Source organism: Homo sapiens, chromosome 11, assembly GCF_000001405.40.
Source record: "Homo sapiens chromosome 11, GRCh38.p14 Primary Assembly".
Classification (NCBI taxonomy): domain Eukaryota; kingdom Metazoa; phylum Chordata; class Mammalia; order Primates; family Hominidae; genus Homo; species Homo sapiens.
The window spans coordinates 100,282,526-100,296,873 of record NC_000011.10 but is presented as its reverse complement, the minus strand read 5'-3'; the positions used below and the strand labels follow the sequence as shown (position 1 = coordinate 100,296,873).

The following is a 14,348-nucleotide window of genomic DNA, read 5'->3' as shown; positions in this document are numbered from 1 at the left end:
CACTTCAGTGTTGCCTTTCTATTCCGGCATATCATTTTTAAACGATATTGATATACTCATAAACAATAAATTCACTCCTATATATTACTTACTTGGAATGAAAGGCTATTAATTACTGGTAGGTATTCACACAGCCTTTTATACACCAGAAAAACTGAAGTGGAATTTATATACTCCTGGAAAGGAAGAAAACAAATTCTCCTTGGGCCAGAAAAGAGGGTGAGCAAAACCTGTGAATATATAATTGGCTCCATTGAAATAAATAACCTTCCTTTGTCAGGGTCTACGTTTCAGTATCGTTTGGCCCTTTTCTCCATGAACACAATTCTCTTGCTCAGGCACATGCAGCTGCTACCAATATAGGATTATGCAGCAGCAGTTACCAATCTTTATTCTTTCACTGTTACATACATACTGAGGATTATTCATATGTGGAGTTCATCTCACGGATTCCCTCAGAATTGCATGGAATTGGATACCCTTTTTTTCTCTCATTCAAGAAATCACATGGAATTCAACTGAGAAAAATGATGCAATTAGAGCAATAACTGTAAATATGACCTAATTTATATGAACAGCAAACAAATCATTTATTGAGTTACGTATTAGTAGTCATAGTTGTTGCCACATGTAACAGACTGTGAGATATCAGTATGCCTTATAACCATGTCTGAAAAACCACTGTTATGTAGTATTAGTCTAAATTTATTTTCTGCTCAATGTTACGGGTAAGACACACAAGAATGGAGCTAGTTTAACTGTATATGTAAAAGGACAGGGATCCAAATTTTCAAACATTGCCTTTTTTGCTAATCTCAGACTTCTGAATATTGTGACCATCAAAGCATAGTCAAATAAATAGTGGATAAAATATATTAATAATTTAGTGATATCATGCCATTACTGCTTCTCTTAGTATTTTTGTTTTTTTAAATGTATATACACACACATACATACACACATACACTCCTCACATTTATCTCTGAAAACTCACATTTAAATAACATTATGGGTAATGTATACCAGACCCAGTACTTTGTCTATTAAATTGGACTAAATCTGTACTCTAAATTTAGGGCTTTGAATCCTCTTCTTTGAGGACATCATTCCTATGATCATAAGTTTCTGTGGAAAGACTAGGCATTGAAGATCCTTTTCTACTTTGTTCAACCCTAAAACATCATCTAAAAAAAAAGGATGCTCAGAAACTCTAGATTACAGTTTTAGAGTAGGCTCTAGGCTCTCTAGTCAACATCTAGAAGCCTATTTAAAAGATATTAATAGAATAAAACAAAGTAACTATTTGAAATCAAAACTGTTGAAGCTTTGGTAGTATTGTTTCACATCCATTGATACTTTTATTTTTAAAAAAACAATTTACCAATTTAGATTTTTAAAAGTTTTAACTTTGTGAGTAAAAAATTAAAAAAAAACAAGTGAACATTTTGGGGAAAATTTCCATTTTGAGAAACTAAGAAAGCAAAAGAGGGCTTTCTTCTATGATTTGATTCACTTCTATTTAATTCATTTTTTGAAAGTATGTGATTTCAAATTTCAACTAATGATCTAAGTTTTAAAAACATTTGTTTTACTACTTGAAATCAGCTCCGTGAGGTTTTCTTACTGCTGCTAATTTATTTTCAAGACAAGATAGCCCATCTTCAACTTAATGTAAAGAAATAAGATCATCCTTCTCTTACCTTACCTCCAATTTTAATGAACAATAACTGACAAGAGAGGCATTATGGCTCACCGTGTTTTAATAGCATATGTGTATAAGTAACAGCTACTCAAATTTTAAAAAAAGTTTACTAGATATAATCGGATTCACTAATGGAAAACTTTAGGCTGTAATAGCTGCAGCTCACGCAGTGTTTTGTTGTCATGGGCACAGTGTTTGAATTGGGTACTCTAATTCCAATTGGCTTAAATTTCCTAATTACATGCAGCTAATCAGCGAAACCCATGTACATTCATTTTCTTTTCAAGTTGGTGGCACACAGTTATTATCTCTGCACTGATGGAGTCCACTGGTTTTAATTATATCCCTTTATAAAACAACATATTCCTGATCTGAAGGGATTTGACTTAATCTTTCGGAGCGCTTATGGTGTAAAAGTTCTATAATTCTTGCTAGAAGCACAAAATTAATATAATCAAATATCTAATAAATGCTTTTGCTGAGTCCAGAGAAATACATATTTACTTTAAAACAAAATATATTTTAAATATAATTAATAAAATTTGAATCCAGGATTAAGCAGCTAGACTCTTCTTCCTCAGTCAACTACTGATAAATGTCTTGAGCATATTAGCTTAGAGAATCAAGTTTATACATATGGTTAGCAGGTTTAAGTCTGATTCTTCTGAATTTCTTTCTGAGCAAAGCTCATCCATTAGTGGATAATGTAATTGATACTTTATCCACAAGCTACAAATGCCTAGCTGTTTTAAGTCTTACCTGGCATGTTGAAATATAAACTCATGTCTCTTTTCCTCTTAAACATTGAAAGCATTCTTGTAAACACAGAATGAAAAAAATATAGTGTACTACCTTAGTTTAGCCACGGCAGAATATCAAAGGACTTCTCAGTAGGTTGAACAAAGTGAGTCACACTAATAATATGCTTTAATTAGCGTTTAACTAAAATAAAATGTAATGAAATCATTTACCAATCTTTTTTTACCTGAAAAATTTCCAATTTATATTACAGTAAGCGCTTACCCCACTCATTAAAAAATACAGCTCTTTTCGAGACCTGGGACAGGCCATACAATTTTGGAGCTTAATGGTTATCTGGCAATTGGTTTGGAAAGAAAGGTGCTGAAGAATGAAAAGAGGGAAGGGAGGGAGTTTATATAGCAAAGGTAGAAGTCAAGAGGAACATTTAAAAAATAATTTTTTTTTCTACTCAAATTGAAGTATGTAGCACAGGAAAATTTCAATTAATTGATTCTAACTCAGGCTTAGTTTACAGAAAGAGTTAAATTGAAGGAGTTCCCCTTGCCCACCATCCCCCAACCCGCCCAGAAAAACCAGTGTTATTTCCTTAAGAGTTTACATAATGCTTTTATTCTTATTAGGGTAGATAAAGTGGTATGTACAAACGGTAAAGGTTTTCTTGTGGGAGTGAGAAGTGGGAGTAAGAAAGATCTGGGTTTGAATCCTAGTTCTACCCCTCTAATTGCTTGGCTGAAAATATTTTTTAACGTGTATTTCCATTGTCTCATGGAGATACTAATTATACCTGTTTCTTAAGGTTATTTTCATGATTATTCATCACAGTACCCGGAATTATAATCAATAAATATTACTTAATATTATTTTCTGTTTAGATTCGAAAAAGAGAAAGTGGTGAAGTCTTCTATGAGAAGTGCTGAAAGTTCATCGTGAGTCTATACACACGCAATCTTGAAACAGAATATCCTTCTTGGATATTCCAATAATATTGTTTTGGTAGTACCAAAGGAATTATGCTTTCAGTTTTGCCATAGTTTGTTTCAATCTGGAAATCTAGGCAAAATACCTATTTGAATTTCTGAAAGAGATTGCTAGGATATTTCAGGAAATGTAAGAATTTTCTGATTTATAAACCTCCTTGTAAGTGGCAATAGTCAAGAAGATAGGAGGTGAGTGTACAAAATGAATGGTATTTATCTCAACTCATATTCCCTTTGTTTATATGGATCCACAATGAACTAAATGCAAAGAATAGGTAAAATAATCTTTGTATAAGATTTGTTGCTAAAAAGGGGAGAAAGAAAAGGCAAGAAGAAATATATACAAAGCCTATTCACATACCCCCAGATAAAACTAATCCAGCCCATCTTATAATAATATTCCATTGTGTCTCTTCCATAATTTTTGAACTCAAGGGAATTTTCTAAGTCACCATCATGGACAAGAACTGTGAAAATACAAATGTCAACAGAGCAGGATCCTTTGTAGGTGTCAGAAGGTAATGTACAACTTAAGAAATTGTAAGAGGACATTAAACGACTGTTTTCTGAACTTGGAATGAGTCACATGTAATCTCAGATGCTGAATTGAGAGTGGCTGAAGAAAACTAGTCTCGCTACGAATTAGGGAAACCAATTTTATGACTCTTTCTCATTGCCTGCCTCCAACTCATATACATACATGCACAAGTAATGCTGTCTTAAAACAAGGTTGTCAGTTTAGAAGATGGATTTGCTATGGCATCTCCCTCCAACCCCAGCTGTCAATAGAGAAGTGGGGATATTATTTCTTCATCAAGGTAAATAAGGACAGGAGCAAGACAACCACTATAGAGAAGTTCAGATGCTTACCTATCACACCTTGTACTGAGTTTCGGAGTTTTCTAGAATACCTCAATTTCATACTGAGCTACTTGAGGAAACTTCAAATGAAGAACAATAAATAATAGTTCCTGAGAATATCCTATAATTCTAGATTTTGGCAGCCCAGGAATGTGAAATGGTTACTGTGAACCAAGTGGTCATGAAGATAGGTTTGAATAGGGTTGTTAGGATCACACCCAATAAGGCTGCCTGCTAGGGGGCAAGATGTCTTCAAAGAACTCAATGCACCCCATGAGAGAAAGCAGCAGTATGTGGATAAACGCCATCATGTTGAACATTTAACACCCATGTGAGAACCACAAATTGTACCATCTAAGTGGAAGCTTTTCTCCTTCTTGTCTGACCTGGAAAGTACCAGAGCACCGCTGGAAAGTACAAAATAAAGTGGAAAGAAGAAAGAAAAGACAGATCATAGCTGTTGGGTCAGGTCTGTGCTGGGAAGGAATGAGAGACCATGGAATTAGATGTGAGATTAAATTTTTTTAATTAAATTAAACTGGAATTTTTAAATACCTGAAAATGCGACTGCTCTAGTACGTAAAAGTGCTTAGGATTTATTTGAGGCTGAGGTTTGGGATCACATTGAGCATAGTGGAGAGCAATGGCGGGAGAAGAAAAAACCTTTTTTTTGTTGTTGTTTGTTTGTTTGTTTTAACCTCTACAGCTATTTATTGGCGTTTGAGTTTTCAAATGTAGAAAAAATATTTTTCCTTTTTTTAATTTTTTATTTATTTATATTTTTTATTTATTTATTTATTTATTTATTTATTTATTTATTATTATACTTTACGTTTTAGGGTACATGTGCACATTGTGCAGGTTAGTTACATATGTATACATGTGCCATGCTGGTGCGCTGCACCCACTAACTCGTCATCTAGCATTAGGTATATCTCCCAATGCTATCCCTCCCCCTTCCCCACCACAGTCCCCAGAGTGTGATATTCCCCTTCCTGTGTCCATGTGATCTCATTGTTCAATTCCCACCTATGAGTGAGAATATGCGGTGTTTGGTTTTTTGTTCTTGCGATAGTTTACTGAGAATGATGATTTCCAATTTCATCCATGTCCCTACAAAGGACATGAACTCATCATATTTTATGGCTGCATAGTATTCCATGGTGTATATGTGCCACATTTTCTTAATCCAGTCTATCATTGTTGGACATTTGGGTTGGTTCCAAGTCTTCGCTATTGTGAATAGTGCTGCAATAAACATACGTGTGCATGTGTCTTTATAGCAGCATGATTTATAGTCCATTGGGTATATACCCAGTAATGGGATGGCTGGGTCAAATGGTATTTCTAGTTCTAGATCCCTGAGGAATCGCCACACTGACTTCCACAATGGTTGAACTAGTTTACATTCCCACCAACAGTGTAAAAGTGTTCCTATTTCTCCACATCCTCTCCAGCACCTGTTGTTTCCTGACTTTTTAATGATTGCCATTCTAACTGGTGTGAGATGGTATCTCATTGTGGTTTTGATTTGCATTTCTCTGATGGCCAGTGATGATGAGCATTTTTTCATGTGTTTTTTGGCTGCATAAATGTCTTCTTTTGAGAAGTGTCTGTTCATGTCCTTTGCCCACTGTTTGATGGGGTTGTTTGTTTTTTTCTTGTAAATTTGTTTGAGTTCATTGTAGATTCTGGATATTAGCCCTTTGTCAGATGAGTAGGTTGTGAAAATTTTCTCCCATTTTGTAGGTTGCTTGTTCACTCTGATGGTAGTTTCTTTTGCTGTGCAGAAGCTCTTTAGTTTAATTAGATCCCATTTGTCAATTTTGGCTTTTGTTGCCATTGCTTTTGGTGTTATAGACATGAAGTCCTTGCCCATGCCTATGTCCTGAATGGTAATGCCTAGGTTTTCTTCTAGGGTTTTTATGGTTTTAGGTCTAACGTTTAAGTCTTTAATCCATCTTGAATTGATTTTTGTATAAGGTGTAAGGAAGGGATCCAGTTTCAGCTTTCTACATATGGCTAGCCAGTTTTCCCAGCACCATTTATTAAATAGGGAATCCTTTCCCCATTGCTTGTTTTTGTCAGGTTTGTCAAAGATCAGATAGTTGTAGATATGCGGCATTATTTCTGAGGGCTCTGTTCTGTTCCATTGATCTATATCTCTGTTTTGGTACCAGTACCATGCTGTTTTGGTTACTGTAGCCTTGTAGTATAGTTTGAAGTCAGGTAGTGTGATGCCTCTAGCTTTGTTCTTTTGGCTTAGGATTGACTTAGCAATGCAGGCTCTTTTTTGGTTCCATATGAACTTGAAAGTAGTTTTTTCCAATTCTGTGAAGAAAGGCATTGGTAGCTTGATGGGGATGGCATTGAATCTGTAAATTACCTTGGGCAGTATGGCCATTTTCACGATAAAGATTCTTCCTACCCAGGAGCATGGAATGTTCTTCCATTTGTCTGTATCCTCTTTTATTTCCTTGAGCAGTGGTTTGTAGTTCTCCTTGAAGAGGTCCTTCACATCCCTTGTAAGTTGGATTCCTAGGTATTTTATTCTCTTTGAAGCAATTGTGAATGGGAGTTCACTCATGATTTGGCTCTCTGTCTGTTGTTGGTGTATAAGAATGCTTGTGATTTTTGCACATTGATTTTGTATCCTGAGACTTTGCTGAAGTTGCTTATCAGCTTAAGGAGATTTTGGGCTGAGACAATGGGGTTTTCTAGATATACAATCATGTCATCTGCAAACAGGGACAATTTGACTTCCTCTTTTCCTAATTGAATACCCTTTATTTCCTTCTCCTGCCTGATTGCCCTGGCCAGAACTTCCAACACTATGTTGAATAGGAGTGGTGAGAGAGGGCATCCCTGTCTTGTGCCAGTTTTCAAAGGGAATGCTTCCAGTTTTTGCCCATTCGGTATGATATTGGCTGTGGGTTTGTCATAGATAGCTCTTATTATTTTGAGATACGTCCCATCAACACCTAATTTATTGAGAGTTTTTAGCATGAAGCGTTGTTGAATTTTGTCAAAGGCTTTTTCTGCTGCTATTGAGATAATCATGTGGTTTTTGTCTTTGGCTCTGTTTATATGCTGGATTACATTTATTGATTTGCGTATATTGAACCAGCCTTGCATCCCAGGGGTGAAGCCCACGTGATCATGGTGGATAAGCTTTTTGATGTGCTGCTGGATTCGGTTTGCCAGTATTTTATTGAGGATTTTTGTATCAATGTTCATCAAGGATATTGGTCTAAAATTCTCTTTGTTCGTTGTGTCTCTGCCCGGCTTTGGTATCAGGATGATGCTGCCCTCATAAAATGAGTTAGGGAGGATTCCCTCTTTTTCTATTGATTGGAATAGTTTCAGAAGGAATGGTACCAGTTCCTCCTTGTACCTCTGGTAGAATTCGGCTGTGAATCCATCTGGTCCTGGACTCTTTTTGGTTGGTAAACTATTGATTATTGCCACAATTTCAGATCCTGTTATTGGTCTGTTCAGAGATTCAACCTCTCCCTGGCTTAGTCTTTGGAGAGTGTATGTTTCGAGGAATTTATCCATTTCTTCTAGATTTTCTAGTTTATTTGCGTAGAGGTGTTTGTAGTATTCTCTGATGGTAGTTTGTATTTCTGTGGGATCGGTGGTGATATCTCCTTTATCATTTTTTATTGTGTCTATTTGATTCTTCTCTCTTTTTTTCTTTATTAGTCTTGCTAGCGGTCTATCAATTTTGTTGATCCTTTCAAAAAACCAGCTCCTGGATTCATTAATTTTTGGAAGGGTTTTTTGTGTCTCTATTTCCTTCAGTTCTGCTCTGATTTTAGTTATTTCTTGCCTTCTGCTAGCTTTTGAATGTGTTTGCTCTTGCTTTTCTAGTTCTTTTAATTGTGATGTTAGGGTGTCAATTTTGGATCTTTCCTGCTTTCTCTTGTGGGCATTTAGTGCTATAAATTTCCCTGTACACACTGCTTTGAATGTGTCCCAGAGATTCTGGTATGTTGTGTCTTTGTTCTCGTTGGTTTCAAAGAACATCTTTATTTCTGCCTTCATTTCTTTGTGTACCCAGTAGTCATTCAGGAGCAGGTTGTTCAGTTTCCATGTAGTTGAGCGGTTTGGGTGAGGTTCTTAATCCTGAGTTCTAGTTTGATTGCACTGTGGTCTGAGAGATAGTTTGTTATAATTTCTGTTCTTTCACATTTGCTGAGGAGAGCTTTACTTCCAAGTATGTGGTCAATTTTCGAATAGGTGTGGTGTGGTGCTGAAAAAAAATGTATATTCTGTTGATTTGGGGTGGAGAGTTCTGTAGATGTCTATTAGGTCCACTTGGTACAGAGCTGAGTTCAATTCCTGGGTATCCTTGTTGACTTTCTGTCTCGTTGATCTGTCTAATGTTGACAGTGGGTTGTTAAAGTCTCCCATTATTAATGTGTGGGAGTCTAAGTCTCTTTGTAGGTCACTAAGCACTTGCTTTATGAATCTGGGTGCTCCTGTATTGGGTGCATATATATTTAGGATAGTTAGCTCTTCTTGTTGAATTGATCCCTTTACCATTATGTAATGGCCTTCTTTGTCTCTTTTGATCTTTGTTGGTTTAAAGTCTGTTTTATCAGAGACTGGGATTGCAACCCCTGCCTTTTTTTGTTTTCCATTTGCTTGGTAGATCTTCCTCCATCCTTTTATTTTGAGCCTGTGTGTGTTTCTGCACGTGAGATGGGTTTCCTGAATATAGCACACTGATGGGTCTTGACTCTTTATCTAATTTGCCAGTCTGTGTCTTTAAATTGGAGCATTTAGTCCATTTACATCTAAAGTTAATATTGTTATGTGTGAATTTGATCCTGTCATTATGATGTTAGCTGGTTATTTTGCTCATTAGTTGATGCAGTTTCTTCCTAGTCTCGAAGGTCTTTACATTTTGGCATGATTTTGCAGCGGCTGGTACCGGTTGTTCCTTTCCATGTTTAGTGCTTCCTTCAGGAGCTCTTTTAGGGCAGGCCTGGTGGTGACAAAATCTCTCAGCATTTGCTTGTCTGTAAAGTATTTTATTTCTCCTTCACTTATGAAGCTTAGTTTGGCTGGATATGAAATTCTGGGTTGAAAATTCTTTCCTTTAAGAATGTTGAATATTGGCCCCCACTCTCTTCTGGCTTGTAGGGTTTCTGCCGAGAGATCCGCTGTTAGTCTGATGGGCTTCCCTTTGAGGGTAACCCGACCTTTCTCTCTGGCTGCCCTTAACATTTTTTCCTTCATTTCAACTTTGGTGAATCTGACAATTATGTGTCTTGGAGTTGCTCTTCTCGAGGAGTATCTTTATGGCATTCTCTGTATTTCCTGAATTTGAATGTTGGCCTGCCTTGCTAGATTGGGGAAGTTCTCCTGGATAATATTCTGCAGAGTGTTTTCCAACTTGGTTCCATTCTCCCCAACACTTTCAGGTACACCAATCAGACGTAGATTTGGTCTTTTCACATAGTCCCATATTTTCTTGGAGGCTTTGCTCATTTCTTTTTATTCTTTTTTCTCTAAACTTCCCTTCTCGCTTCATTTCATTCATTTCATCTTCCATTGCTGATACCCTTTCTTCCAGTTGATCACATCGGCTCCTGAGGCTTCTGCATTCTTCACGTAGTTCTCGAGCTTTGGTTTTCAGCTCCATCAGCTCCTTTAAGCACTTCTCTGTATTGGTTATTCTAGTTATACATTCTTCTAAATTTTTTTCAAAGTTTTCAACTTCCTTGCCTTTGGTTTGAATGTCCTCCCGTAGCTCAGAGTAATTTGATCATCTGAAGCCTTCTTCTCTCAGCTCATCAAAGTCATTCTCCATCCAGCTTTGTTCCGTTGCTGGTGAGGAACTGCGTTCCTTTGGAGGAGGAGAGGCACTCTGCTTTTTAGAGTTTCCAGTTTTTCTGTTGTGTTTTTTCCCCATCTTTGTGGTTTTATCTACTTTTGGTCTTTGATGATGGTGATGTACAGATGGGTTTTTGGTGTGGATGTCCTTTCTGTTTGTTAGTTTTCCTTCTAACAGACAGGACCCTCAGCTGCAGGTCTGTTGGAATACCCTGCCGTGTGAGGTGTCAGTGTGCCCCTGCTGGGGGGTGCCTCCCAGTTAGGCTGCTTGGGGGTCAGGGGTCAGGGACCCACTTGAGGAGGCAGTCTGCCCGTTCTCAGATCTCCAGCTGCGTGCTGGGAGAACCACTGCTCTCTTCAAAGCTGTCAGACAGGGACATTTAAGTCTGCAGAGGTTCCTGCTGTCTTTTTGTTTGTCTGTGCCCTGCCCCCAGAGGTGGAGCCTACAGAGGCAGGCTGGCCTCCTTGAGCTGTGGTGGGCTCCACCCAGTTGGAGCTTCCCTGCTGCTTTGTTTACCTAAGCAAGCCTGGGCAATGGCGGGCGCCCCTCCCCCAGCCTGGCTGCCACCTTGCAGTTTGATCTCAGACTGCTGTGCTAGCAATCAGCGAGACTCCGTGGGCGTAGGACCCTCCCAGCCAGGTGCGGGATATAATCTCGTGTTGGGCCGTTTTTTAAGCCTATCGGAAAAGCGCAGTATTAGGGTGGGAGTGACCCGATTTTCCAGGTGCGTCTGTCACCCCTTTCTTTGACTCGGAAAGGGAGCTCCCTGACCCCTTGCGCTTCCCAAGTGAGGCAACGCCTCGCCCTGCTTCGGCTCGCGCACGGTGCGCGCACCCACTGACCTGCGCCCACTGTCTGGCACTCCCTAGTGAGATGAACCCGGTACCTCAGATGGAAATGCAGAAATCACCCGTCTTCTGCGTCGCTCACGCTGGGAGCTGTAGACCGGAGCTGTTCCTATTCGGCCATCTTGGCTCCTCAGTATTTTTCCTTTTGTGGCCAGAAATATGTGTATAATTTTCCATTTGAGTCAGAAGAGAATGAAGGGACGGAATACAGTGTAGGAAAAAAATAACTAGAAAGCAAAGACATTTGAATGTGTGGAAAAATGTGTTAGCATAGTCTTTCATTCAACACTTCTTTTCCTCTACTCCTTTCGCCTTGTCTGTGCTACAAGAACCAAAGAAAATGGCTACATATTGAGAAATAGTACTAATTAGATAAGATGAAAAGGCATCATGGGAAGGCCAGCCACGGGTTTGCAAGGATGATTTAGAAGGCATGCATGCTCTGTGGAGTGTGCCATGTGCTAAAACATTCTCTTGACTCTCCTGTTGTTCTAGTGGGCTGGATGATAGGGCATGATGGAACGCTGGCTGTCTGCAGTGGAGACTTCTCACAGTGAGGGTATCTTGGGAAGTTGACTGCAGAGCTGCAAGTCAAGAGACCGTAGGGTTCTTACTGTATCAACAAACGTGTTTAACTCTGAAAATGTTTTCTCAATATGAAAAAATATACTTTTTCATGATTACTAGTTTGTAAATTTCCATTTAATAAAGTAATAACTCATTTAAATTAATGATGGAGGTGATACAATAAAATATCTTCCAATAATATTGAGCATTTATCATGTGCCAGGCACTATGCTAAGCTCTTTACATGCATTTAAAAAATCTTATTTAATAGAATGGTCAAAAGGAGTAGGTTGTGGTATCCCCATTTTATGAGTGAGAAATTCAAGCCTTAAATGACATACTTCCTGCCTATGTCCACCCTGCTATTAAGTGGCACAGTAGAACGTTAATCCAGGTTGAAACTCCAACCTTTCATTATAGGTGCAATTTCTTTTTCTTTAAAAGATACATACACACATAAGCATATATGTATATTTATTCATGTGTGTATATATAATTCATTAAAATTTGAAATAAACTGCAAATATTGAGATTTATACCAGTAGCTTTGAAGATAATTGAAATTTTATACTACAGAGAAGATCAGACCTTTCTGAATGACAAGTTACGTAGTTAACTATATCTTTTCTCCCTTTCATTTATTTTTCAACCGTATTAAGAACATGTAACGTATAGAATATTAAAATTCAATTAAATGACAAAATTGACAATGCTGTATTTACTTTATGTATTTTTCCATTTCACCCACAGTGTGTATTTCAGATTCATTTCCCCAAATGTGATTTTTTTTGTCCTGAGTGTCATCTTTTTAAATAATAGAGAAAGTATTTACATTATGCTATCCCAAATTTATATATTGGTTTGATGATATTAACAGATTTCAAAAATTAAACACAGGGCTGTCTATCTTTATTTATCAATCTATCTAATCTCTAACTAAAACTTGTAAGAAAATATAGCTTAAATATAGGAGATGGTGGCAGAGCAAGATGGCAGAATAGAAGGCTCCACTGATTGTCCCCTTGGCAAGGACACTGCTACACATAAAACTCACTTTTGTAAGAACCAAAAATCAGGTGAGCACTCACAGTATTTGGTTTAAACTTCATATTGCTGAAAGATGCACTGAAGAGGTAGGAAAAACAGTCTTGAATCACTGAGACCACCGCTCCTCCATTCCCCAGCAGTGGCCCCACAACACAGAAGAGAAAATCTGTTTGCTTGGGAGAGGGAGAGTGCAACAATTGTGAGACATTAAATTCAGTGTCGCTTGGTTATAGAAGAAAGCAAAACCAGACCAAATTCAGCTGATGCCCACCCACAGAGGGAATTTATTTATTTATTTATTTAAATTTTTTATTTTTTTGAGACAGAGTCTCGCTATGTCACCCAGGATGGAGTGCAATGGCCCGATCTTGGCTCACTGCAATCTCTGCCTCCTGGGTTCAAGTGATTCTTGTGCCTCAGCCTCTCGAGTAGCTGGGATTACAGGTGCCCGCTACCGCGCCCGGCTAATTTTTGTATTTTCAGTAGAGACGATGTTTCACCATGTTGGTCAGGCTGGTCTCGAACTCCTGACCTCAGGTTATTCACCCACCTCGGCCTCCCAAAGTGCTGGGATTACAGGTGTGAGCCACAGCGCCCGGCCCGGAGGGAATATTTAAACCATCCCTAGCCAGAGGGAAATCTTCCATATCAGTGGTCAGAACTTGAATTCCTGAAAGCCTCACCACCACAGGCTCAAGTGCTCTGGGGCCCTAAATAAACTTGAAAGGTAGTCTAGGCCACAAGGACTGTAACTCCTAGGCAAGTCCTGTGTTGAACTGGGCTCAGAGATAGTGGACTTGGAGAATATGTGGCATCTAAAATGTGAGCTGGGGTAGAGTGCTAGGGGAGTGTTGATGCCACCCCTTTCCTAAGTCCAGGCTGCACAGCTTGCAGATCCATAAGAGATACCTTCCTCCCACTTTAGGAGAGAAGGAGGAAGAGTGGGGAGAACTTTTTCTTGCTTCTTGGATACCAGCTCAGCCACAGGAGAATAGGGCACTGGTCATAGTTGTGAAGCCCTCTTTTCAGACCCTAGCTCCTGTATGACATTTCTAGACACATCCTGGGCAAGAAAGGAACCCACTACCTTGAAGGGAAAGACCCAGTCTTGGCAGGATTAATCATCTGCTATGAAAAGTAAAGGAGACTTTGTCTTGAACCTTAGGTACCAGCTCAGCCACAGAGGTGTAGAGAACTAAGAGGGCTCTTGGGGTCCCTGATCCCAGGAGTTGACTCTTTGACAGCATTTCTGGACCTGCCCAGGGACAGAAGGGAGCCCATTGCCCTGAAGGGTGAGTTCTAGGCCAGGCACCATTCGCCAAAAGCTAACTTAAGAGACCTTGGGCCTTAAGGGAACACTGGCAGTAGACTGGCAGTACTACCTGTGGGCTTGTGGTGGCAGTGGCCACGTGGTGAGGCTCCTCTGCCTTTGGAAAGGAGAGGGAAGAATGGGAAGGACTGTGCCTTGTGGTTTGAGTGTCAACTCAGCTGCAGTACAATAGAACACCAAGTAGACTTCTAAGGATTTTGACTGTAGTCCCTGGCTCCTGAATGGCACCTCTGGATCCGCCTAGGCCCTAGGGGAACTCACCACCCTGAAAGGAAGGACACTGGCCTGGCTCACTTTGCCACATGCTAATTGTAGAGCCCCAGGGCCTTGAGCAAACATAGGCAGTCACCAGCAAGTGGTTATAGCAGGCCATAGGTGAGATCGACTGCTGGACTGGCTTCAGGTCTGA

General features: G+C 39.1%; 1 protein-coding gene across 7 annotated transcripts in view; it reads right to left on the bottom strand.

Moving 5' to 3' along the window:
• CNTN5 (contactin 5) overlaps positions 1–14,348 on the bottom strand; it is a 1,337,937-nt gene that overhangs the window by 62,012 nt on the left and 1,261,577 nt on the right. The gene's annotated exons all lie outside the window — the stretch shown is intronic.